The 27,449-nt window shown below is 33.0% G+C and overlaps 1 annotated feature.

The window, feature by feature from the left end:
- Window positions 16,658-17,159: an enhancer, noted in NCBI's record as "NANOG hESC enhancer chr13:86736088-86736589 (GRCh37/hg19 assembly coordinates)". NCBI's record gives its function as "activates a minimal SCP1, AML or CMV promoter by ChIP-STARR-seq in naive H9 embryonic stem cells {active_cell/tissue: H9 hESC(naive)}" and the evidence as "EXISTENCE:reporter gene assay evidence [ECO:0000049][PMID:30033119]".

Raw genomic sequence — 27,449 nt, 5'->3', positions numbered from 1 at the left:
ATCATTTGCTTTAATTTTAATTGTGTAGTTTTTCTCCATAGTTGTGTGCTGTAAGTGTTCTTTATATATTTTCCGTGCAATTTCTTGGCCAGGTAGCCACTTTAAAATTTTGTCTATAAACTCATGATGCCCCTTTTCATTTTCTTAGCAATGAATATTGAATATCAAACATTTTCATATTTTATAAAGTCCAAGGCTTTTTTTCTTAAATTGTTTATGTCTATCATTCTTTTAGGATACCATTGCCTAACACAGGGTAGCCAAGATTTTGTCTTATAATCTTATTTCCTAGAAGTTTAATAGTTGCCTTTCTTTCATCTAGGTCAGAGGTTCTCAATCTCAGCACAATTGATATTTTGCTGGATAGTTCTTTGTAATGGAAATCTTTCCTATTCATTGTTTGTTTCATAGCTCTAACTTTAACCACTAAATGCTAGTAGCAACCACTCTGATATAGTTTGGATGTGTGTCCCCATCTAAATATCATGTTGGAATGTAATCCTCACTGTTGGAGGTGGGGCCTGGTGGGAGGTGATTGGATCATGGGGGCAGATTTCTCATGAAGGGTTTAATACAATCTCTTTGGTGCTGTCCTTGCCTTAGTGAGTTGCCTTAGTGAGTCGTCCTGAGATCTGGTCCTTTAAAAGTATGTGGTACCTCTTGCTCCTGCTCTGGCCATGTGACGTGCCTGCTCCCATTTACCTTCCACAGTGATTGTAAGTTTTTTTCGGCCTCCCCAGGAGCTGAGCAGGTGCCAGCATCATGCTTCCTGTGCAGCCTGTAGAACCATGAGCCAATTAAACCTCTTTAGAAATTACTCAGTCTCAGATATTTGTTTATGACAATGCAAAAATGGACTAATACACCCTCCCAATTTTGACAACCAAAATATGTTTCCAGACATGGTCAAATGTCCCCTGGGAATAGGGAGAGGAGTGGAAAAATCTACCTCAAGTGAGAATAGTAACTAGGGATGAAATCCTCTGATTCATTGTATGCTGATTTTAATGTGTGGAGTGAAGAGGCAAAGGTACTTGTTTTCGCACATGGTTATGCCATTGGCCCAATACCATTTCTTGAAAAGAGTATCCTTTTTCCATTGAATTACCTTGTAATCTTCATTTAATAATAGTTAATTATATATGGAGCCTATTTATGAAATCTATTTTGTGTTGGTGCTTACAGCAACTTTATAATAAGCCTTAATATCAGATAATAAAATCAATGGAATATTTTTTCTTTATTGTCAAGCTTGTGTTGGCTATTTTAGGTGATAGAAATTTCTATATTCATTTTGCAATCACCTTGAAAAGTTTTATAGAACAGCCTGCTGAGAATTTGATTCCAAGTGCTTTTCAATTGGGGGAATTAATATTTTACCAATTTTTAGTCTTCCCACTAAATGCACATAATTTATATCTTATTTATTCAGGTCTTCTTTAATTTTTCTCACTGATATTTTTAGTTTTCAAAGTACAATTCTTGAGCATATTTCATTGTTTATTTCATATATTCTACTGTTACTTTCACTGTTTTCTAAATTTTAATTTATGATAGTTTTTGTGGCAAGAACAAAGAAATCCAGTGGCCCTCCATATCCACAGCTTCCACATATGCAGCTACAACCAACCACAGATAAAAAATACATTCAAAAAATCCAATAAAAGTAACAGCAGTGAAAATAATACAAATAAAATATTTTAAAATGTATAATAACTATTTCCATAGCATTTACATTTTTTAGGTGGTATAAGTAATCTAGAGATAATTTAAAGTATATAGGAAGAGAAGTGTAGGTTATATGCAAATATTACACCATTTTAGGTGAGGGACTTAAGCATTCATAAATTTTGGTGTCTGTGGGGGATCCTGAAAAAAATTCTTCACAGATACTGAAGGAAGACGGTATGAGAATTTATTTACCTTTTATTCTCTAATCTTGCCAACCTTATATATTTGGCTGAATTTTTATTTATATTTACACCTATATTTTTCTATATAGATGATGATGCAATTTGCAAATAATGTATCTTTTACTTTTCTGGTTCTAACTTGAATATCTTTTTATTTAACTTTTGTCATATCATATGGTTGTAGGACCTCAAGTACAGTATTGAAAAGCCATGTTTACAATGCTTGTTCTCTAAGCTAGGGAAAAACATTCAATTTTTCACAAGTAACTATATTATATAACTATATAAATAAGTTATTATGTGAAGGAACTTCATAGAATCTCTTTATTGGGGTGAGAAAGTTCTTTTCTGTTCTTTTCTTGCTGAGAATTTTTATCAGAAGTGAATGTTGAAGTTTTGCAATGTTTTCCCTACATTAGATATATGTCATTGTAATTGTTATTCTTAGTTTATATGATAAGATTCATTAAATTTCTTTCTTAAGCTAAAATTTATATAAAATAAAAATAATTGTTTTAAAGCTAATTCAGTGTTGGTTAATTTTGAATATTAAGCTAACTTTGCATTAGTGGGATAAAGCACACTTTTTAAAATGTATTATTGCTTAATATAATGTAAGACTTAATGTGCTAAAATGTTGCTTTGCAAGAATAGTAAAGAGAGGTATTTGTCTATATTTTTTCTTTTTTTTTAAATTTGTTTTCCAACGACCTGCAGCCCATTGATATTTTATTTTCTTGTGTCATGTCATTGTTAAGTTTTACTATCAGTAACATCTGTCCTCAGGAAATGCATTGAAAAGAATTTAATTCTATTTTCTGGAATAATATTTATAGACTTTATTTATTTATTTATTTATTTATTGAGATAGAGTCTCGCTCTGTCACCCAGGCTGGAGTGCAGTGGTGCGATCTCTGCTCACTGCAGCCTCCGCCTTCTGGGTTCAAGTGATTCTCCTGCCTCAGCCTCCTGAGTAGCTGGGACTACAGATGTGCACCACGACACCCTGCTAATTTTTATACTTTTAGTAGAGATGGGTTTTCACCATCTTGGCCAGGATGGTCTCGATCTCCTGACCTCATAAGCCACCCACCTTGGCCTCCCAAAGTGCTGGGATTACAGGTGTGAGCCACCGCACCCAGCCTAGACTTGATTTTTTAATCCAGAGTGTTTTATAAAATTTATTATTGAAACCATCTGTGCCTGTAGTTTTCTTCTTGAAAGGTTTTTAATTACAAGTCAATCTTTTGGTGAGATATAAGGCTATTTAGATTGCTTAATTTTCCACTTCTTAGTAATTTATACCTTTTTAGTAATTTATTACATTTAAATTCATTGAATTTATTTACTCATGTATTTCTTTATTTGGACATTATTATATCATAAACATTATTATTTATGTTGCCCAGGTTGGCTTGAACTCTTGGGCTCAAGCAATACTCCCATCTCAGCATTCCAAATGGCTGAAATTACAGGCATGTGCCACTACACTTGGCTTTATTTTATTGAATTCGAATTCATTGATATAAAGTTTCATGATGTTTTCTTATAATTCAGTAATGTCTATAGTATTAGTAGTAATGTCATATTTCTCATTTTTGACATTGGCTATGTCTTACTATAATCTTGCTCCTATAACAAAATGCCTTAATTCATTGGCCTGTCATTTTACCGCACCTGTTCTTTCAAGACATTGGGCACATATGAAACCACTACAAGCCCCACAGCTTGGCTAACCCTATAATTTGTCTTCCAAATTGAGACACTTGCAAGAGTTAAAGTGGGCACAATTAGAAATTGTTTTGTAATATGATATTGAAATAGAGAACATCCTAGTTAATGTAGTAAATTAGGGTCATTCCACCAAAAGCCTTTCTAACTCCAGAAGAGGCAGAATCAAAGCCCATTTCAGTGATATCCAAAGAGAACCTGAAATCCATGACCTATAGGATCCATTATTTTGCCCTAAGTAAAATTCTTGACGTGTTATTTGGCACTACATCCCTAGACACTGGTGCTGCCTCTTTTTCATTTGGCTGTGGCATTTACAAAAAAGCACTGTAAGGACAGGTAGTATTCATGGAATGAAGTTGTTATTCATTTTCTCTCCCACTTTCCTCTTTTTTCAATTGGTTTTATATTTTCCACTTCAAATTTCCTTTGTATTGTAGTGAAGTGAAAAATGTACAGCCCTTGACACTTTAATCATTATCAAAATATGCAGAAGGATTAAGTGCCTTATTCTATGTTATCCTCCAATTCACTGTTTATTCGATGATCCTCAGCAGCCCAGTAAGGAGCTCCATAGTCTGCCTAGAGAATTATCTTCTTGATTCATTTTGATTTAAGAAAAGTGACTTCTTGGTGTTTGCTGCCTCACTCAGGAGCAAAACAGCATCTCTCACCACTGGTTATCCTATGGTCAGTTTCATGAATGGCAAGATGTTCACACATTAAGAGGTTTGTATTCTCCTTCTTGTAGAATCTTCCACCACATTTTAGCCTCTGGGTGTTTGTACATTTTAGCATTTCCTCGTGCTATGTTAGTTGCCTATCAATAACATTTTCTGTGGCTTTCCCCTTGATGTAGCTGCAAGAAGCTTTCTTAATCTTCACACCTATTTCTTATTGCTAATTTGAGTTAGCCATATATATCTGTTAATGTACACACCATGTCATACACCAGTATGTCCTGAAATGAGAATCAGAGTGTGTAACTTTGTGGTGATTTCTCTCTCAACTGGAGATTATTATGAATGTCAGATTACTTAAAAACCTGCTAACGTGATGTGAATGGACATTAATCTTTATTAAAGCAATATTTTTATAATAATTTCTCAAATTATTGAGTCATTGAGTGTTATGCATGCCAAGATATTTTTTCCCATATAGGTAAAATAGATTTTAGATTGTATCTTAACCAACATTTATCTCTTCCAGTATAAAACAATTCCTATGTTACAGATTAGATTCACACTATGCAATTTTATAAAATTGTAGGGTTTTTTCACTTTTATATTATTATATGTCTTGTTCCAAATTGTCTTCCATTAGCAATGTAACAGATTTTAAGGAATCTTGATTTTATTTTAAATAACATCATCACTACATGACAGCTAGACAAAGATACACAAAAATACCTGGAATCACTTTTTAAAAAATTTTACAGTGTATACATGTCTTTTATAAGGTAGTTATTGAATGCATACTATGTGTTTAACAGTGTGCTGTGCTTTATCTGGCATATATACTTGAAAATAGTCAATATTTATAACTGTGATAAGTAGATAACTAATCTTCACTCTTATAGTTTTATTCTTTCATAATTATGAATGCAATCTGCTATGTCATATTTATGTTACTTCTGACTGCTAATGTTTAAACTGTGCTAAAGCTAGTTTCTATTTTTGTTTGACATAAATATATAAAGTAAAAAGTCTGTCCAATGATTTTGATAAATGATAATGGTTCCACGGATATGCAGATGTCCTAGTATCCTTCAATTTTGTGGTGTATTGCACATGTAGCTGTAAGGGTTAGAGTTAGAGTTAGGGTAGATTGTGTATGTATATGTGAATAATGAAAACAAATGAAGGACAACTATTTTAATGGTGTATCAGTCCTTGCTTATATTAATATCAGCAAGGATTGTGCAAGGGGGGTGATAAGAACTCCCATGTGGAATTATTTAAGAACAGATATCACTGCTAAAAAAAATCTTGATTTGTTTTTTCTTCACTGTCTTTTACAACATTTTTTCCTGGTCCAGCATACCTGCTGGAGCTTAACAGGCAGAATTATAAACCATTCTGCCTTTGTATATACTCATTTAGCATCCCGCCATTTTCATAGATTTTCAAATTACTTAAACACAAAGCCTACATGCTTTTCAAGAATAGATCTATAATATATATGAGATAATGGACATATTTAAAATGCAATCTCAAATTACATGAAAGTTCTGGCACCATGTGGCTTCTGGTATGAACTTAATCATTTGACATATTGTCCATTTCCAGCAAATATGCTGGAATTTAGGCCAAGATGACAGGGGATTATACAAAAGCAGTTGGGCAAGAGCTGAAGCTTGTGTTCAAGGCAACAACATTTGGCATGAGTTGAATTAAATATTTCGTTTGTTTTGTTTTTGTAGTTTTGATAATTTATGGACTAATTTCCAAAGTCCCTCAACTTCTCCCACTCAAAAGCACCGTATTATCTCTTTTCTGAAATAGGTTGTAAAAACAAGAGCAAATCACCAACTAAACATACTGTATTAATTTATCTGTGCACTTTATGTGATATTAAATTTTCCCCTGGAAATTTTATAGCAACTACAAATAGTTTTCAATAATTTGATTTTTTAAATTCTGAAACCATAATGAGAGAGAGTAAAAAACAAATCTTAGCTCATTAATGGAGGCACTATCATGATAATAAGACTGATTCAGTGAAAAAGTGAGAGTATGAAGCATTTATAGTGATTGAAAGAAAGAATGCTTGAATACAATGACTTAGATACAAAATTAATGTTCAGTAGGACAGGAAAACTTTAAATTTGGGGATTTTCTTAGAGACAAAGCTTAACTGCAATTCTAGCTTACATAGTTCATGTGCATCTCCATCATATTTTTACTAGTTAACAGGCTTAATTACCGAAATGTAAAATACCCTAATCAATAATAAGGTATAAAAATACAAAACAGTACACTGAAACCCCTGGACCAGAAAATGCTGAGTAGGGATGGAGAGTGTGCGTTGCCACATAAGGCTTACCATGACACTGAAAAGGCATACAGTAATTCCTCTGGTCTCCTTCACAATCATTGGATATATTTTTAAACATATATGAAACCCTTATACTGACTATTCACTATTATGTTTTACAAAATTAAGGGAAGTTCTGTCATTTTGTTTTAGATCATTTAGTGTTTTTGTCATGTTTTTCAGACTGCTTCCTTTCATATCTTCTCAAATACTGATTTAATTTTATACTGGTGGAATGCAGGGTGGGAGGGGGCTTCAGTTTTATCCTGGAAAAAAAAGGCAAACCCTCTGCTTCTTGTCATCTATCTACTTTAAAGGTCTTCTGCAGAACCAAACTTTATCCACGTCCTTGTTTGTACTTTCTCGCTCATGTGTGCTTTTTTGGTGTTTCCTGCAGGTTTTCATTTCAGAATAAGTTGACTCTATACCTCTGTGTGTAAACACGGCAGGCATGTCACCTGTTCTAACCTCCTACTACCACATTCTACATTCTCTATGTGTATAAGTCACCCCATTTGCTCTGGACGTCTGTATATAAACGCAGCATGCTACCCTTTCTACTCAAAGGCTGAACGCCATGCTGTTAACTGAAAGATTCCTCAGTGAGGCTTGTCACCTCTGAGCTTCACCTACAAACCAAAGTGCACACTGATCTGTCCTGGAGTTTCCAAATGTTATCATAATTTTATTATCCCACTTTAATACTTAGCTGAGACTTAAGCCAGAGTAATATACCTCTCTTTAGGTTTCATTTATGCTTCTAAATTTTTTCCTTCACCAGAAAAATGTATATCATTGTAAAGGTGCTATATTTATCTTTCCAGTCTATTTATGAAATAACCTTGCTTATTCTTATGGAAAATAGCATTTTACATTTTTAAAATAGTTCTAGCTTTTCTGAAGTGTTGGCTTTCAAAAACCTATTTTAGAATACAGAGTTAAAAATTTTATTTCATTTTTTGTTATTTCTGACTTAAAAAGTATTGTTCCATCGTGAATAAAAGCCTTTGAAACACTGAAAAACAATGAAAATTTGGGGTGAGAGCCAATTGATATATTTTAATCACATTTCCTTATTTATTCTCCATAATTATCTTAATTTTATGACTTGTTAATATACAGTACAATAAATCACTCTTACATGTTTGACTGTTTAATATTATTGACCGAAGAAATCATATAGAGTCAATAAAACATTAAGAGGGAAATGTAACCCTACTTTACAAACCTTCTGTTGCTCAAAGTGAATGTAAAATATTAAGAAGTGTGGTAATCATCCATTTCTACAGGTAAGTTTTTGGTATTTGATATTTTATGGTATAAGTTTTTATATCATAAAATATATAAACATATATGAATATACATATTTGACAGATTAATGTAAAATACAAACATTTAAAATGATGGTTCAAAGAAATGAAATTGAGTATTTTCTCCTGAAAATGTGGCTTCAACTTAATACAGAATATTTTAATGATGCCTTTTAAAATCAAATGTATTTTATATTATAAGCAACGAGCTAAAAAAGGATTTCTACTTACCAATGTAATTTGGAAGCAGGATGGACACAAAGACATAACTTGAAAGCTAAAAAATGAAAGTACAGAGACATAATTAGATAAAAGACTTTCAGAATGTATGAAACATACAGATGGAAGTGACAGACGCAGGAAATCTATTACACTGCCTTCTCTATCAGCTATTCAATATCAGTTTAGTCTGAGAAAGGCCAATATTTGTATGATACTTTAAAAATATAAAGCGTATACAAATACGAGAAAATTATTATCCTTCTCTCTTAAATCCTCAGTCTTCCCTTTAATGAGACTTGGATGTAACAGCTCAAAGGCTTGAAGTTAAATTTTTCCTCTAAGAAAGAGCAAACTGTTGTAGAGGAGAACTGCTGTACAGCAGTAGCTAATGATTATAATATTACCATATGCAAAAGTGCAAACCCTGCTCTGTCTTCTAAAAGTTTTATGACATAGTGCTATTGAAATAAAACGTTTTTGGAGAAACTCAGCCTCTTATGGCTCCCCATTTGCAGCCCTGGTGAATTAGAATTCTGAGGTAATTTCTGGCTCTCTGTATTCCAGTGGATGTTTAGATTCTCTTACTTGCCATATTCTGGTGAGGTAGTACTATGTGCCTAGCTCTGGCCTAAAAGTTGTTAGCAGAAAGGATGTGTACAATCTCCTCATTACTAGAGTATTTAATTGAGGTGACAGAAGGAAAAACTGAGTGAGGGGTATATAGAAACTCTTTGTACTCTGCAACTTTTCTGTAAATCTAAAATTATTCTTTAACAAGATTTTGTTGGGGCCTTGTGTGGTGGCTCACATCTGTAATCTCAGCACTTTTGGAGGCCGAGGCGGGTAATCTCAGCACTTTTGGAGGCCGAGGCGGGCAGATCACCTGATGTCAGGAGTTTGAGACCAGCCTGGCCAACATGATGAAATACTATCTCTACTAAAAATGCAAAAATTAGCCAAGCATGGTGGCAGATGCCTGTAATCCCAGCTACTTGGAAGGCTGAGGCGGGAGAATCACTTGAACCCAGGAGGTGGAGGTTGCAGTGAGCCAAGGTTGTGCCACTGCACACCAGCCTGGGCAACAAAGCAAGACTCTATTAAAAAAAAAAAAAGACGTTGTTAACTTTTAAAAGGTGCAAATCAAATCCAACAATATATTTTAAAAATAATTTATTGGCCAGGCGTGGTGGCTGACTCCTGTAATCCCAGCACTTTGGGGGGCGTAGTGGGGCAGATTGCCTCAGGTCAGGAGTTCCGGACCAGCTTTCCCAACATGGTGAAACCTCATCTCTACTAAAAATACAAAAAAAAAAAAAATAGCTGGGCATGGTGGCAGTCACCAGTAATCCCAGCTACTCGAGAGGCTGAGGTAGGGATATTGCTTGAACCAGGGAGGCAGAGGTTGCAGTGAACTGAGATCGCGCCACTGCACTCCAGCCTGGGCAACAGAGCGAGGCTCCATCTCAAAAAATAATAATCATTTATCACAAAGTTTAACATTTCAATATTGATATCAATAATTCATAATAATATAAATAAAAGGTGATCGTAATGCAGAAAAAGCATTTGACAATATTGAAATGACCAAGCGGGCTTCATCCCTGGGATGCAAGGCTGGTTCAACATACGCAAATCAATAAACATAATCCAGCACATAAACAGAACCAATGACAAAAACCACATGATGATCTCAATAGATGCAGAAAAGGTCTAACCACATGATTATCTCAATAGGTGCAGAAAAGGCCTTCGACAAAATTCAACAACTCTTCATGCTAAAAACTCTCAATAAATTAGGTATTGATGGGACGTATCTCAAAATAATAAGAGCTATCTATGACAAACCCACAGCCAATATCATACTGAATGGCCAAAAACTGGAAGCATTCCCTTTGAAAACTGGCACAAGACAGGGATGCCCTCTCTCACCACTCCTATTCAACATAGTGTTGGAAGTTCTGGCCAGGGCAATCAGGCAGGAGAAAGAAATAAAGGGTATTCAATTAGGAAAAGAGAAAGTCAAATTGTCCCTGTTTGCGGACGATATGATTGTATATCTAGAAAACCCCATCGTCTCAGCCCAAAATCTCCTTAAGCTGATAAGCAACTTCAGCAAAGTCTCAGGATACAAAATCAATGTGCAAAAATCACAAGCATTCTTATACACCAATAACAGACAGAGAGCCAAATCATGAGTGAACTCCCATTCACAATTGCTTCAAAGAGAATAAAATACCTAGGAATCCAACTTACAAGGGATGTGAAGGACCTCTTCAAGGAAAACTACAAACCACTGCTCAATGAAATAAAAGAGGATACAAACAAATGGAAGAATATTCCATGCTCATGAGTAGGAAGAATCAATATCATGAAAATGGCCATACTGCCCAAGGTAATTTATAGATTCAATGCCATCCCCATCAAGCTACCAATGACTTTCTTCACAGAATTGGAAAAAACTACTTTAAAGTTCCTATGGAACCAAAAAAGAGCCCGCATTGCCAAGTCAATCCTAAGCCAAAAGAACAAAGCTGGAGGCATCACGCTACCTGACGTCAAACTCTACTACAAGTCTACAGTAACCAAAACAGCATGGTACTGGTACCAAAACAGAGATATAGAGCAATGGAACAGAACAGAGCCCTCAGAAATAATGCTGCATATCTACAGCTATCTGATCTTTGAAAAACCTGACACAAACAAGCAATGGGGAAAGGATTCCCTATTTAATAAATGGTGCTGGGAAAACTGGCTAGCCATATGTAGAAAGCTGAAACTGGATCCCTTCCTTACACCTTATACAAAAATTAATTCTAGATGGATTAAAGACTTAAATGTTAGACCTAAAACCATAAAAACCCTAGAAGAAAATCTAGGCAATACCATTGAGGACATAGGCATGGGCAAGGACTTCATGTCTAAAACACCAAAAGCAATGGCAACAAAAGCCAAAATGGACAAATGGGATCTGATTAAACTAAAGAGCTTCTGCACAGCAAAAGAAACTACCATCAGAGTCAACAGGCAGCCTACAGAATGGGAGAAAATTGTTGCAATCTACTCATCCGACAAAGGGCTAGTATCCAGAATCTACAATGAACTCAAACAAATTTACAAGAAAAAAACAACCCCATCAACAAATGGGCGAAGTATAGCAACAGACACTTCTCAAAAGAAGACATTTATGCAGCCAAAAGACACATGAAAAAATGCTCATCATCACTGGCCATCAGAGAAATGCAAATCAAAACCACAATGAGATACCATCTCACACCAGTTAGAATGGCAATCATTAAAAAGTCAGGAAACAACAGGTGCTGGAGAGTTTGTGGAGAAATAGGAACACTTTTACACTGTTGGTGGGACTGTAAACTAGTTCAACCATTGTGTAAGTCAGTGTGGCAATTCCTCAGGGATCTAGAACTAGAAATACCATTTGACCCAGCCATCCCATTACTGGGTATATACCCAAAGGATTATAAATCATGCTGCTATAAAGACACATGCACACGTATGTTTATTGTGGCACTATTCACAATAGCAAAGACTTAGAACCAACCCAGATGTCCAACAATGATAGACTGGATTAAGAAAATGTGGCACATATACACCATGGAATACTATGCAGCCATAACAAGTGATAGTTCATGTCCTTTGTAGGGACATGGATGAAGCTGGAAACCATCATTCTCAGCAAGCTGTCGCAAGGACAAAAAACCAAACACCGCATGTTCTCACTCATAGGTGGGAATTGAAAAATGAAAACACATGGACACAGGAAGGGGAACATCACACAGGCCTGTTGTGGGGTGGGGGGAGGGGGGAGGGATAGCGTTAGGAGATATACCTAATGTTAAATGACAAGTTACTGGGTGCAGCACACCAACATGGCACATGTATACATATGTAACAAACCTGCACGTTGTGCACATGTACCCTAAAACTTAAAGTATAATAAAAAAAATGCAAAACCAGGTTTACAAAAAGAAAATAAAATAACTGACACACATTCATTAAGAAAAAATAATGATTATACGTAAATAAATAATACATTATATGCCTTTGTATACATCTATCAAAAAAAAGAAAATTTGTTTTTGATAAAAGCTCTTAGCAACTTATGAATAAAAGATAAATTTCTCAATCTCATAAAAAGGAATCTTGATCTTGAGGCTACCGTCATATTCAGTGGTGAAGGATGACTTTTCCTCTAGGATAGGTAACATGCCAAGGGTGTTGATTCTCATTATTTTTATGGTTGTTCCAGCCAGTGTGATAAGGCAAAAAAAGAAGGAGAAGAAGGAGAGGGAGAGGGAGAGGAAGATAAGCCATCCAGAAAAAATTAAAAGTGTTTTTATTTTCTGTGAACAAAAGTGTACTGCATCTACAGAAAAACTGCTAGCACTTGTAAGTTTAACAAATGTGATAGAAATACGTTTGCATTGTTTGTTATTCCAGCCATACCTCAGTGCTATGTATGGTTTGCATATGGTTTGTTTGGCCCCTCCAAGTCTCATGATGAAATTTAGTCTCCAGTGCTGGAGGTTGGGCCTAGTGGGAGGTGTATGGATCATGGAGGCAGATCCCTCATAAATGGTTTGGTGCCAGTCTTCTGGATATGAGTGAGTCCTCACTGTTAGTTCCCCAAAAACACCGGCTGTTGAAATGCACCTGGCACCTCCTCTGCTCTCTCACTCCCTCTCTCATCATGTGAGTTTAACACCCTGGCTCCCCTTCACCATCTGCCTTGAGTGGAAGTAGCCTGAAGCTCTCGCCAAACACAGATGCTGGCAACATGCTTCTTGTACAGCCTGCAGAACGATGAGCCAAATAAACCTCATTTCTTTATAACTTACTCAGCCTCAGATATTTACAGCAACACAAAAAGACTAAGATACCTAGATTAAATTTTAAATTATACAATGTTTTCTTATTTAGAAACTAGATCACTATTGCTATGCTAGTGTTTACCCTCATCTGATTTATTTTTCTCTCTGTGTCTTCTCCCTCCCAGTCACCCTCTCTTCTCTCCTTTCTCCACCTCTCTGATTTTTCTGTTTTATCTATTCTTCCTATTATCAATCTTATTTTGTGACTTTTAAAATAAGAGAGATCTCAGTTAAGAAAGATCAAGTTCAAATGAATGAACGAGTGAATTTTTTGAACCTTTATTACAAAAGATTTTAAAAGTTTTAACTCTGAGGGAGTTTTCTAACCTTTTCTTATATAGTTCAAATGACTTCTAAATTAAAAAGTTATATTTATTATTTTACTTTTTAATTTGTTTGCATCTACTTTTCACATCAACCTTTAATATATATGTATACCTTTATTATATATATGCACTTTATTTTATATATATACAAATACCTTATATATATATGTATATATATATACACATATGCACACACATATACCCATACATATGTATGTATATAACAGTTCAAGAATTTTAATTACAGGGATTTACTATGGATACATTTTGTGTAAGCTTTGCAATACTGTATTTGCATAGATTTGCTCATGTGGAAAAACTGCCCTAGGATGTTCAAGTTCAAGAATTGTTATTAGACAATACTTTTATATTACTTGTTTAAAATGACAGGTGATAAATTTGATCCTTATGAGACAATAGAGCTTTTGTTTCATTTGGGACTTGCTTTGTTATTTTACAGTGGGTATATACTAAGAGTGTTAATATAAGTTCATTGTGGAGATAGCACTTAGTAGAACCTTTACAGGTTCTCCGGAATGTAGTCTCTAAGAGTATGTGGACAGCACATTAATGGATTTTGTGATGCATTTATTACAAAAAATGTATAGGAGAAGTCACAAATGTTAAAGTCTAATTGTAATATAAAAAATAAACATAAGAAAGTTCATACTTTCAGCAAGTTTATGTGATTTATGAAGTTTTTCACCTATAATGCTCTGATGTAATATGTTCTATATAAATTGATTTTCACTTAATAAAAATTGGAACATTCTATGATTTCATATTACATAAAAAGAATTAAAAGAATGCATAAATCTTACCAAGGTCAATAAAAATAATACTATGGCTATTTTACATAATGCTAGGGAGTTTATGTTCAAATTTGATTCAAATAATATCTATTTTCTCAAAGAGAAATCGTATAAAGCACAATTATTTCTGCTTCTCAACATCTTGTTATCATGCTTTAATTAGCGAATACTCTTTAATCATATAAAGCAGTCTTTGTATTGATTCCTTGAACAGATTACAAATGGGTTGTCAGCATTCTAGAAGTCATTATTTCCAAATTGCAAAGAATCAAGCAGTGATTACCAAGGTACAAGAGTGCTTGATAACACAATCAAGCATTTACATAATTCGTTCTGATCTCTTTATTCAGAAAGACATAATGATAGCTTGCATTTAGGAAGATAAATTATAGAAAATTGTCTGCTTACAGCTTCAGACATATTTTTTAAAAATATTCTTTTTTTCTATTAAGATAGGCTGTGCACACTGAAGGCCATTCTTCTGTCATAGACCTTTAATGCTTATCTTGATCTCCTCAGTGCCTGTATATAAAAGTATCTTCATGAATAGACTTATTTGTAATACATATGTATGTGTATATACACACAAACATGTAAGTTTTTTAATATTGAAATTATTGATTACTTTTGAAAATTAAAATGAATGCAGTTTTTAAAAATAATTTTGTTTCTGTATTATTTAATTACTACTAAAACTTTACAATCCTTCATGGAAACCACAATAATGATTTTAATCAGATGTTGAAGTTCACATAATGCTATAAAGGGGTGATCATTTTTATTTTAATTTCAACTATGACATTAGAAGTCTTTGCTATTTTAAGTTGGCTGTTTCTTTTTTATCTCAATATAAAATATGAAATAAATCTACAGCTGCAAATTTGATCAATACAATCTCACATTTATTAATAGAAGTAATGTTTTACAAAGATTAAGACAGTATTTTTCTTATGAAAATGTCAAATATCAGAAGTGACAATAATTTTAATTATAAAAAGGCTTGGTTATTGAATAGTTTCTTATACATACATATATTTACTATTTAATCTACTCTTTTACATTCCTGGCATTTTATAAAATAACAAATATAAAAACTTGGTTACAAATCAGGCTGGGTTAAATAACTAAAACAACAGCAATGACATTTTTTCTAATTTATTTTCTTCTTGAATCAAGTTTAAAAAAAGAGATTGTCCTCAATATAGTGACTTTGAAAAGGTCCAAACCACCCTTAAACTTATTTCTGGTGACATCAGATCCTTTTTTGTTTTCTTTCTTTTGGTAAAATATACAGAATACCTTGACAATTTTTTATCAACTAGAAGACTTTGATAGCCTTATTTCATCCCATTCCCCTTATCCTCTCCTGTGAACAATCACTTGACTTAATCTATTCTGTTTACTTTGTATCTTTTACTTTGTCTGTTAAATTCACCAAATTTTATTACTTATCTTAGTTCACTGTGCCACTGGTATCCTGAAATCCTAGGGCATTCTACTAGAGATACATTTCCAAAGAAGCATTTTTATAAGACTCCCATGCGTGAACATTTCAATAATGTTTCCTTGTTCTTGAAGTAAATTGTAATGTACTTATTGTGGCATACAACAACTTTATGGCCAAAATGTTTTATTTTTTTAATTTTATATTTCACACTATTTTCTGGTTCATCCTAATGTACCATGATATCAACTGTGTCTACTCCACACCCTGGCTCTTCTACCACAACATTTGTAACTCATTTTGTTTTACATAAATACAGGAAAGTTTCCCTTAGTTAACAGCTTTGACTTCAGATTCTCTGATAAATTTCAACTCCTAACATTTAAAAATAATGGTCAAAATCTTCAAGAACTTTGAGTTCCCTATATATAATTTTATTGAGAAATTATGTCATATGTTTGCAATACTTGTTTCTAAGTTTTTTCGTAAATAGATTCTTATGTCCTCTACACAATTATGAACCCATAAACTGGCTTAAATAGCAGTTGATTAAATGTTCAGGCAAGGAGTGAATGAGTCAAAGATAAAGAATTAATAAAACTGATACAATAGCCCCATAGACTGTTTTGTTGTTGTTGTTGTTCCCTTCTGGATGTAAAGGTTGAAACTTCCATTTGTTTTATCTGAGTTTTTTCCTCAGGAAAGAACCCCTCGGCTTCTCGAAAAGTATCAGATAACTAAAACTCACCAGATCCAGCCAGTGAGACACAAGGCCTCTAAGAACTGAAACTTAACCATATAATCACATCCAGACAATGAGACACCAGGCATCTCATTCATCATAAATGCTTCCTTACCCATCCTCAGTTCCTGTTTTCCCATACAGAGTTATAATTTTTTCCCTGATATGTAAGCTTCTAATTTTAGTTGGTCAATGAGATGGATTTGAGACTCATCTTCCAACTCTTCAGTGGCAGCACCTGATTAAAGCCTTTTCTCTTGGCAATACTTGTTGTCTCAGTGATTCGCTTTCTGTGTGGGGAGCAGCAGGACTAGATAGAACCCCTGGTGCTTTGGTAACATTAACTGATTCATGTGTCTTTTTTCTTTCCCAAGTAATTAAATCTTAATGATAAAAGCCCTTAAAGTCTAGCATTGAAATTCAAGTTTACAAAATGAGAAGAATATTCATTTTCTTCTCTGATCTATATTTCAACAGTGTTTACTTTGTCAGACTAACTAATCAACATATTGAATAGCTCATAGTATAAGGCCAAGGAAACAAAACAGTCGTTTTTATTCACGTGTGAATACAATGGAAGAAAAGGAGTGAAATACAGGAGCAAAGAATGGAATTGTGAGGCAGGAAGAAAAAAATGTATGCTTATACTTGATGAATGTTGTTATTCCTTCTGACGCTGGCTCATTTCCAGAATAGAGATAATTTAGGTAAGGTCAGTATTTTAAACCTGTTCTACACCTCTCAATCTTTCTCATCATTTTTGTAAACTAAAGAATATATATTTAATGGGAAGATTTTATTATATGTATATAGAGAGAATGTATATATTATATGAATAAAGTATCTCATAGGCTTGTAAGTCACCTGTCTCAAATGAAATATATTTAAAGGGAAAATATTTTTCAATGAAAGAAACTAATAATTATGAGATGGAATATATTACAAGTAATCTTATTACAAAAATAGCTACTAAACTTTTTTTTTTTTTGCTTATTTCCCTTTCCATGCCTTATATAGTTTTTAAAATTAAGTACTTTGAGTTTTTTCATTCCATCCCATTATATGAAAAAAAAATTAAAGAAGTGGCAAGCCATAAAGATAGAAACAGAGGTGTGTACCAGAGGGCGGGGGGAGGGGGGAAAGGACAAGACACAGGAGATCAAAACAAGTTTTTTTAAAAAACTCAGAAAAAATGGATAGAAATTAAAGACTATATGAAAGTGGTTATTGCTAAATCATCATATTCTATTGGATTTTAAAACATAAAATAATATTTTTAAAAAATATCTTTAAGTGAGGGATTGAGGAAAGGCTTAAAATAATACAACATCATCAAAAATATTTGCACAACTACCCATTTTTTTTAACTAAGAAAGCATTGTCATTCACTTTCAGAAAGTAGAAAGTAAAAAACAGGGAAAATATATATTGAACATAGCTGCTGCCTTCTCAGAGTTAACAATGCTATCATGAGGGCTGAGGCTTATGAACACATATTAATTGGGATAAAACTAAGGATGCTCTAGCTAGCTTTAGATCCACTTCTCTATCAGCTTGTTGAACATCCACAGATATAGTTTATCTTAGTTACTTGGTGTCTAAGAGTAGAATTAGACCAGAAAAACCCATTCAGCTCTAAACTTCCATAATCTTATGTTTTCTTTAATTAGGATTTTTCCTTCTTCTTTTTCTTCTTCATCTTTTTATTCAAAAAGGTAAGCCACTACTATAAGTAAGAGTATGTAAAATAAAAACTTTTATACTTAAAATTTACTTATTTTCAAAAATTATTTAAAGTTATTACTGTACTTTTTGTTTTAACTTTACAATAATGTAGCATAGATTCATTTTTCTAATGCTATAAACTGTTTTGAAACCAAGAAATCCTATCAAATAATTATAGGTATTCTCTTTATTTTGGTATCTTGTTTATTTCATTTTAATTGGAAAATAATAATTGTATATATTGTATAAAATTATGGTGTACAATGTGGTTTTTAAAAATTGTTTTAAGTTGACACATAGTAATTGTACATGTTTATGGGCTACAATGTGATATTATGATAAATGTGTATAATGTATAATTATCCATTTAGGGTAATTACCATGTCAGTTTTTTCCAAACACTTATTATTTCTTCATGCTGAAAACATTTAAAAATCTGGCTATTTGAAGATATTTAATAAAGTGTTGTTAACTCTAGTCACCCTACAGACCCCATAGTATATAGAACACCAGTCTATATACTATATAGACAGATTTATCCTGTCTAGCTGTAATTTTGTATTCATTAACCAACCTTTCCATATCTCTCCTGTCTCCTATATTCCCTAGCCTCTAATAACCACTATTTTTACTCTTTGCTTCTATTAAATCAACTTTTTTCTTTTTTTTTTTTTTTTTTTGCTTTCACATGTGAGTGAAAACATGTAGCATTTATTTTTCTGTTTCTGGCTTCTTTCACTTAACATACTGTTTTCTAGGCTCATCCATGTTTCTACAGTGACAACATTTTATTACTTTTTATGGCTGAAGAGTATTCTAATATGTATATATACCACATTTTAAAAATTCATTCATGTGTTGATGAAAGCTTAGATTTATTTCATATCTTGGCTATTGTGACTTAAAAGCTTCTGCACAGCAAAAGCTATGAAACAATCAATAGAAAGAAGAGACAAATTGTAAAATGGAAGAAAATATTTGCAACCTATTCATTGTACAAGCGATTAATATCTAGAATCTACAAGAAACTCAAACAATTCAACTACAAAAATAAATCCCATCAATAGAAACAATCTAATGAATAAATGGGCAAATGACCTGAATAGAAATTTATCAAAAGCAGACATACAAATGACTACCAAAAAATGAAAAAATGTTCAGTTTCACAATCATCAGGGAAATACAAGTCAAAACAATAATGAGATATAATTTCACCCCAGTTAAAGTGGCTAATATAAAAAAGACAAAAATTTTAAAACTCTGGCAAGGATATGGAGAACGGGGCATTCTTACACCCTCTTGGTGGGAAAGTAAAGTGTCATAACCCCTGGAAAACAGTATGGAGGTTCCTCATAGAACTGAAAATAGAACTACTCCATGATCCAGCAATCCTGCTACTGGATTTATCCAAAGAAGGGAAATCAGAATGATGAAGAGATACTTTTCCTCTTACATTTTTAGGTTTATCACCTTCATATTGTCAAAGCATGATGCCAATAACCTATTTAATTTATGAAGGGCAGATAATACAGGCAGAGATTATTTTAACAAACTATTTTAATGATGATAATAAATATCTTAATATTGCCTAATGTAGAATGTCCCAAAACATATGTATCATGTAAACATAATTTTCTAAAAAAATGTGACTTTTTTTTCAGATATCACACATTTCAGGAATGAAAATTTTGTATGCTTAAAAATATTTTCATTAATGGAATTTAGGACAACACCTAAACCCAAATGTTCAAATTAATCTTTGACCATTTATATGTATAAGTACTTACCTATGTACACATATAAATGTATAAGTTTATATATATATAAATTTGCATATGATAAATCTTCATATATTTATAAGGTACTTATAGATCTATACCTACAAATATCTATATATGCTTTATATACTCATATAAGTATATTTATATTTATACTTCATAAATACTTATTTTATACATACTTAAATATTTATAAGTTAAATATTAAATATATAAAATATATATTATAAATATATTAAAATATAAATATATAAAATTTAATATTTAAAATGTTAAATTTGTTATTCAATTAAACTCTGTTAAATTTAATTTTTCTGACATGTTTTGCTTTTCATGTGAGAGAGTTTAATTGAACAACAAATCAGGCAGCCCTCAGAGACAGAAGAAATTCGGAGAACTTTGCTGTGCAACATGGACAGGCAGCATTTATGAACAGAAAATGGAAATGAAGTACAGAAACAGCTTGAGTGGTCACAGTTTTGCATTTGCCTTATTTGAACATGGTCGGATGAGTTGGTCACTTGTGATTGAAGCTTAGGTGCTGTGAATGACTGAGACTCAGATATTTGTAACAAAAGTATACTCTTAACTTTCAGTTAGCTTGGATATTTAGTTAGGTTATAATTCATGAAGTTATGATTCAAAGTACACCAGCATACTAAGGCCAAACTTAGTTTAATTTAACAATGTATGTTTTAGAAATCTTTATTAAAAATACACAGATAGACACCCTTAATGGGAATATTGCTATATGTTCCACATTATTTAAAAACCATTCTGTGTAAAAGAAAAAACTCCAAAAAATTTAATATTTTCCATGGTTAGTATGATAGTGGAAGATTGCTTCGTTAAATGACTGATTGGCTACTAAATATATTTCATAAAAATCGAAAGTATGCTAGTAGCAGTATAATGGTAGTAACTATTTAGTTAATCAGTATAGCAGTATTTAAGAGTGATGTTATCTTGCATTCTACCATTTAACTAGATCCTCAAAAAAGAAAACAGATATTAGGACTGAAAACCAACTTTTAAGATATTTTTATGTTAAATTAGGTTGTATTTTGGGGAGTAATTATTCTAATTAAATATAAACTTCCAGTTAAGTGTGAACATTTTTTCCTATTTATTATGTTTCGAATACACTGTTAAAAGAATAAAAGATTGAAATAAATATAAAGTTATTTTAGTTCCAAAATATACAAGCTTTCAAATGGCTGTTCATATAATTAAGTACATTTCTTTAAAAGCAATTAGTTGCTTAAAATAAAATCTAATAAATTAATTAGACATTTGGATACTTTGTTTTACTGCTGTTTCAAAATGAGCTATTAACATAAAAATATTACAAAAACAGAGATAATAGAACAGTTCCATAGATTACCAGATAAAAAAATAGAATGAAGAGAATGTTAAATGTAATATTGATTGTTCTACTTAATAATATTTTAATTGTTGTTCATTCAGTAAAATCTATGGGAGAAAATATCAATGTGACTGACATAACATTATCTTCAATTAATGCTAATAAAGTGTTGTATTAGTAAATAAACATGTGCAGACTTGCCTTGAATGTGAAGAATAGCCAAAGCACTTTAGTTTAAAATTATTTCTATGAAAATAAAAATATTTCTGCATTAATATTAACTATAGTAATAGCTGATAATATTTATCTTCAACATGAGTCAACATTACAGATGAAATATAAAAGTGACATCTGTGGTACTTTGGGGAACATATGAAGAATTCAAATCTGTTTTCTTTCTTCTTTCTTCTTCATGTAAGACCTCTATTGATTTGTAATATCAAGATAACAAACATGACCATTACACCTAAAAGGTGTCTCATGCCCCTTTGTGATTACTTTCTGCAGACGATCCTCACATTCCTCTCTGTCCCAAAACTCAACAACCACTGATCTGTTACTTACATTGTGAACAATTTGCACGTTTTAAATTGTATATAGATTATATCAGTTTGTTTTAGTTTTACATGGCTTCTTTGTTCTGCAGAACTATTTTGCAAAACATCAGTCATATAAATCAATTGTTTACATATTTATATTACTGAATAGTGTTTCTTTGTATGGATATACCTAAATTTCCCTATGTGTTTCCCTTGTTGAGAAACATTTGGGTAGTTTCCGCATTTGGCTATTACAAATGAACACTTGTGTTCGAGTCTCATTGTGGTCATATGCTTTCATTTCTCTTAGATACACGTTTAGAAGCAAATATAGTAAGTTTATTTTTCATGTTTGTGAAACTGTCAAAATACTTTAAAAAGTAGTTGTACTATTTTATAATAATGCCTGTGGTATAAAAGAGGTCTAGTTGCTTCACATCCTTGCTAACACTTTATATAGTCTTTTCAACTTTGCCATTCTGTTTTGTGGGTAGTTGTTTTAAAATTAAAAGCATTATTCTGGTTTCTATGAAAGGATGGGTGATCTAAATGTATGTGGCTTGGATAGGGGTATAGCGGTGGTCTGTAGTTGTCCAGCACCTGGCTCTGGCCTCTGGGTGCTTTAAGGAAGGAGGATAGTATTCCAGATGGCAGATGGCAGAAGCTTGATAAAGGGAGGCAGATGTGATTATAGATTTGGGATTGGTTGGCTCGTATATCAAAGGTATGATCACAGGGAAGCTGTTTGCTATTTCTAGGAATCAGGTAACCTTGGCAGGGGAATGTTCTCCTCTGCTCCACAAGACTACAGTATCAAAGTATTATAAAATACAGAAAATATATGATTAATAGACTAGTAGTATGGCAATCTAGTTCAGTTCTTCATTTCTCAAATCACTAATGATTTTGAGCAATATTTTATGTAGTTCTTTGCCATTTGTATATGGTATTTTGGGAAGATTCTGTTTAAATATTTTGCACACTATGTATGAGGTTATTTTATTATTCATTGGAAGAGGTTTTTATGTATTTTAGGTAGAAGTCCTTTGTGAGATACATGTTTTACAAATAAACGTGATGTTTAATTTGTTTTTTTTAACTTTGAAAAGCAAAAGTTTATTTTTAATTTTTACTGTTTTGATAAAATACAATTTACATTTCTTTCTATTATTTATTTATTTATTGAGACAGTCTTGATCTGTCTCCCAAGCTGGAGTGTACTGGCGTAATCTCAGCTCACTGCAACCTCCACCTCCCAGGTTCAAATGATTCTTGTGCCTCAGCTTCCTGCATAGCCGGGACAATAGGTGCAGGCCACCATGCTGAGCTAATTTTGTGTTTTTAGTAGAGACTGGGTGGTCTCAAACTCCTTGCCTAAAGTGCTTAAAGGTACTGCTTTGACCTCCCAAAGTGCTGGGATTACAGGCATGAGCAACCACACCTGGCGTATTATTTATACTATTTGCATTGTGTTTAAGAAATCATTGCCAAACCCATGGTCACTGAGAATTTTTCCTATGTCATATTCTAAAAGTTTTCTTTTTCTTTTTGAGATGTAGTCTCGCTCTGCCGCCCAGGCTGGAGTGCAGTGGCGCAATCTCGGCTCACTGCAAGCTCCGCCTCCCGGGTTCACGCCATTCTCCTGCCTCAGCCTCCCAAGTAGCTGGGACTACAGGCGCCCGCCATGACGCCCGGCTAATTTTTTTTTTTTTTTTTTTTTTTTTTTTTTTTTTAGTAGAGACGAAGTTTCACCGTGTTAGCCAGGATGATCTGGATCTCCTGACCTCGTGATCCGCCCGCCTTGGCCACCCAAAGTGCTGGGATTACAGGCGTGAGAATTTTGACATTCTATTTTTATATAGTGCATAATTTGAGTCAATATTATTTTGCATGTTTTAATGTCATTTGTTAACAAGACCATCTTTTCCCCAATAAATTGCTTTGACACTTTTGTCAGAAATCAATTGACCATATATACACGTGTATCTATTTCTGAACTCTTCTTTTACATTGTGTTCATTTGCTTATCTTCCTGTCAATACTGAACTGTTTGATTCGTGTAAATGTATAGTATGTCGGCCGGGCGCGGTGGCTCACGCCTGTAATCCCAGCCCTTTGGGAGGCTGAGGCGGGCGGATGACGATGTCAGGAGATCGAGACCATCTTGGCTAACACGGTGAAACCCCGTCTCTACTAAAAATACAAAAATTAGCCGGGTGCAGTGGCAGGCGCCTGTAGTCCCAGCTACTCAGGAGGCTGAGGCAGGAGAATGGTGTGAACCCGGGAGGCGGAGCTTGCAGTGAGCAGAGATAGCGCCACTGCAGTCCGGCCTGGGCCAAAGAGTGAGACTCAGTCTCAAAAAAAAAAAAAAAGGTATAGTATGTCAGGCAGTATAAGTCCTTGTTTTTTGTTCTTATTTTTCATTTTTTTCTAGATTCTTTGCATTTACATGTAAATTTTATAATTTATATAATTATAAATGTTGTAATTTATTTAATTATAAATTTTATAATTCTTGAAAACTTTTTCATGGAAGCCTTGAGAACTATTATGCGAATTCAGTATAGTGAACAATCAGTGGAGTATTGGTATCTTAACCATAAAACACATTTTAATTCATAAACATGTTATATCTACCAATTGAGTTTATTTTCTGAGTAATATTTTATAATTTTTATTTTCCAATTACCCACATCTTTTATAAATATATTTCTGCATATTAAATACTTTACATTTTTATTAAAAGGCTTTTTTATTTCAGTGCATGGAGATTTTATTTCTACTTAGTAATACAGTCATTTTATTTATATTGATCGTACATATGTCATGCAACATTATTATAGTCACTTATTAGATTTTATAACAAATTTTTGTAGGAAGTTTAAGATTTTCTACAGAGATAATAATTTTTTTGTGAATAAACATAGGCTTACTTTTTCCTTCTAAACAAAATTTTTTTAAAAGGTATTTTTCTTGACTCACTGCTTTGACTAATACCTAAAGTTAGATTTTGAATACAAGTAGTAAGAGCAGATGTTCCTGTTTTCTTCCTGATCCTAAGGTAAAACATTTCATTTTCATATAAAATACTTTATTAGTTTTACATTCTCTTGAGGTGCTCTCTCTGGTTCAAAAGTTTTCTTCTATTTGGTGTGTTAAGAGTTTTCAATATAATTTTATGTAAGATTTTGTCACATAAATTGCATTTATTGAGATTATTATTTTTTTTTTCTGTTAACATTGTGAATCACTTTATTTGATTTTCAAATGTTAAACCAGCTTTTCACTCCAGGTTAATTCTTACGTGTCTTGATGCACTATTTGGATACATTATTTTACTATTTTGTATGACTTTACAGAGGTTGTAATATCATGGTAATGCTGGTTTCAAATAATAATTTGGGAAGTATCCAAACTTCTTCAATTTTCTGAAAATGTTTGCATAGAATTTGCAGATTTTCTTTTCTAAGTGTTTCTCAGATTTCACCCGTGAAACTATCTCAGTTTGAGATTTTCCTGCTAGAAATTTTAACTACATACTTTCTTTAGCAGATCTAGTAGTACAGTCTTGCACAGCAAAATGATAGTTTGGTAAATGATAGATTGCATATACATGGTGGCCCCATAAGATTATAATGGAGCTGAAAAATTTCTATTGCCTACACACACTGTGGCCATGATAATGTGGCAGCGCAATGCCTTCCTCACATGTCTGTGGTGATGCTGGTTTAACAAACCTACTGTGCTGCCAATCCTATAAAAGCATAGCACATAGAATTATATACAATGCATCATACTTATTTTTGTTACTGGTTTATGTATTTACCATACTATAATTTTTATCAATATTTTCTAATGTACTACTTTATTTTAAAAAAAAACAGTTAACTGTTAAAACAGCCTCAGGCAAGTCCTTCAAACCATATTTCAGAAGTAGGCATTGTTATCATAGGAGATGACAGTCTCATGTGTGCTCTTGCCCCTGACGACCTACCAGTGGGACAAGATGTGCTGCTGGAAAATAGTAATATTGATATTCCTGACCCTGTGTAGGCCTAAACTAATGGGTACGTGTGTTAGTTTTTAACAAAAAGGTTTAAATAGTATAAAAATGTAAAACAAATTTTAAAATAGAAAAACCTTACATAATAAAGATACAGAGAGAAAATACTTTTGTACAGCTGTATAATGTATATGTGTTTTAAGATGAGTGTTATTACAAAAAAGTAAAAAATGTTTTAAAAAGTAAAAGTTGGCTGGGCATGGTGGCTCACACCTGTAATCCCAGCACTTTGGGAGGCTGAGGCGGGTGGATCACTTGAGGTCAGGAGTTTGAGAACAACTTGGCCAACATGGTGAAACCACCTATCTATTAAAAATAAAAATATTAGCCAGGGATGGTGGCAGGTGCCTGTAATCCGAGCTACTTAGGAAGCTGAGACAGTAAAATCACTTGAACCCAGGAGGTGGAGGTTGCAGTGAACCGAGATCACACCACTACACTCCAGTCTGGGCAACAGAGTGAGACCCTGTCTCAAAAAAAGGTAAAATAAAATAAAAAGTAAAAGTTTATAAAGCAAAAGTGGTGTATTAAGCTAAAGCTAATTTCTCGAAGAAAAAAAATTTAAGTAAATTTAGTACAGTCTAAGTTTACAGTGTTTATAAAGTGTATAGTAGTCTACAGAAATGTCCTAGGCCTTCACATTCACTCACCCCTCACTCACTGACTCACCCAGAGCAACTTCCAGTCTCACAAGTTCCATTCATCATAAGTGCCCTATACAGGTGTACCATTTTTAATCTTTTGTACCATTTTGTACTGTACCTTTTCTGTGTTAACATACACGAATACTCACCATTGTGTTCTGATTGCCTATGTTATTCAGTAAAGTAGGATTCTGTACAGGATTGTAATCTTGGATCAATAGGCTGTACCATATAGCCTAGGTGTGTAATAGGCTTTAACACATAGCTTTATGTAAGTACAGTCTAAGATGTTTGTGCAACAGACAAATTGTTTAACAACACATTTCTCAGACCATATCCTTATTGTTAAGCAAAGCATGAGTACATTCTGGTTATCTATTTTTTTTTTTCTTGAAAAAGCTATGAGAGTCTTGTTCTGCTAAAAAAAATTACTCATTTCATGTTAGTTGTCAAATTTTTGGAAAGAAGTATACATAATATCAACTTACTTTCTTTTTAATGTCTGTATGATAGCTAGTGGTGTTCTTTCTCTCATTTGTGATAATAGTAATTTGTATCTGGCTTTTTTTCTAATCAGTGTACTAGAAATTAAACAATTATGTTCATCTCAAAGATACAGATTTTGGTGTTTTTTAATGTCTTCTATTTTAGTTGTTTCTGCTTTTATCTGTGTTTCTCCTTAAATTTGGGTTTACTTAAAAAATAATGTGAAAATTTAAGACATTGAATTTAGACTTTTTTCTTTTCTAATACTGGTGTTAAGTCTCATAAATTTCTTTTCAGCACAACTTCAGCTGAATCCCACAGATTTTGAGATTTTTGTACTGTTCCAAATATTTTCTTATGACCCCTTTTTTTGACAAATACTTTCTATAAGTGTTTTTTTTTCTTTTAAGTGTTAAATATGTT

The sequence above is a fragment of the Homo sapiens genome, chromosome 13 (genome assembly GCF_000001405.40).
Source record: "Homo sapiens chromosome 13, GRCh38.p14 Primary Assembly".
NCBI lineage: Eukaryota > Metazoa > Chordata > Mammalia > Primates > Hominidae > Homo > Homo sapiens.
Note: the sequence above shows the minus strand (reverse complement) of the source record. Positions and strands in the feature narration are given on the sequence as shown.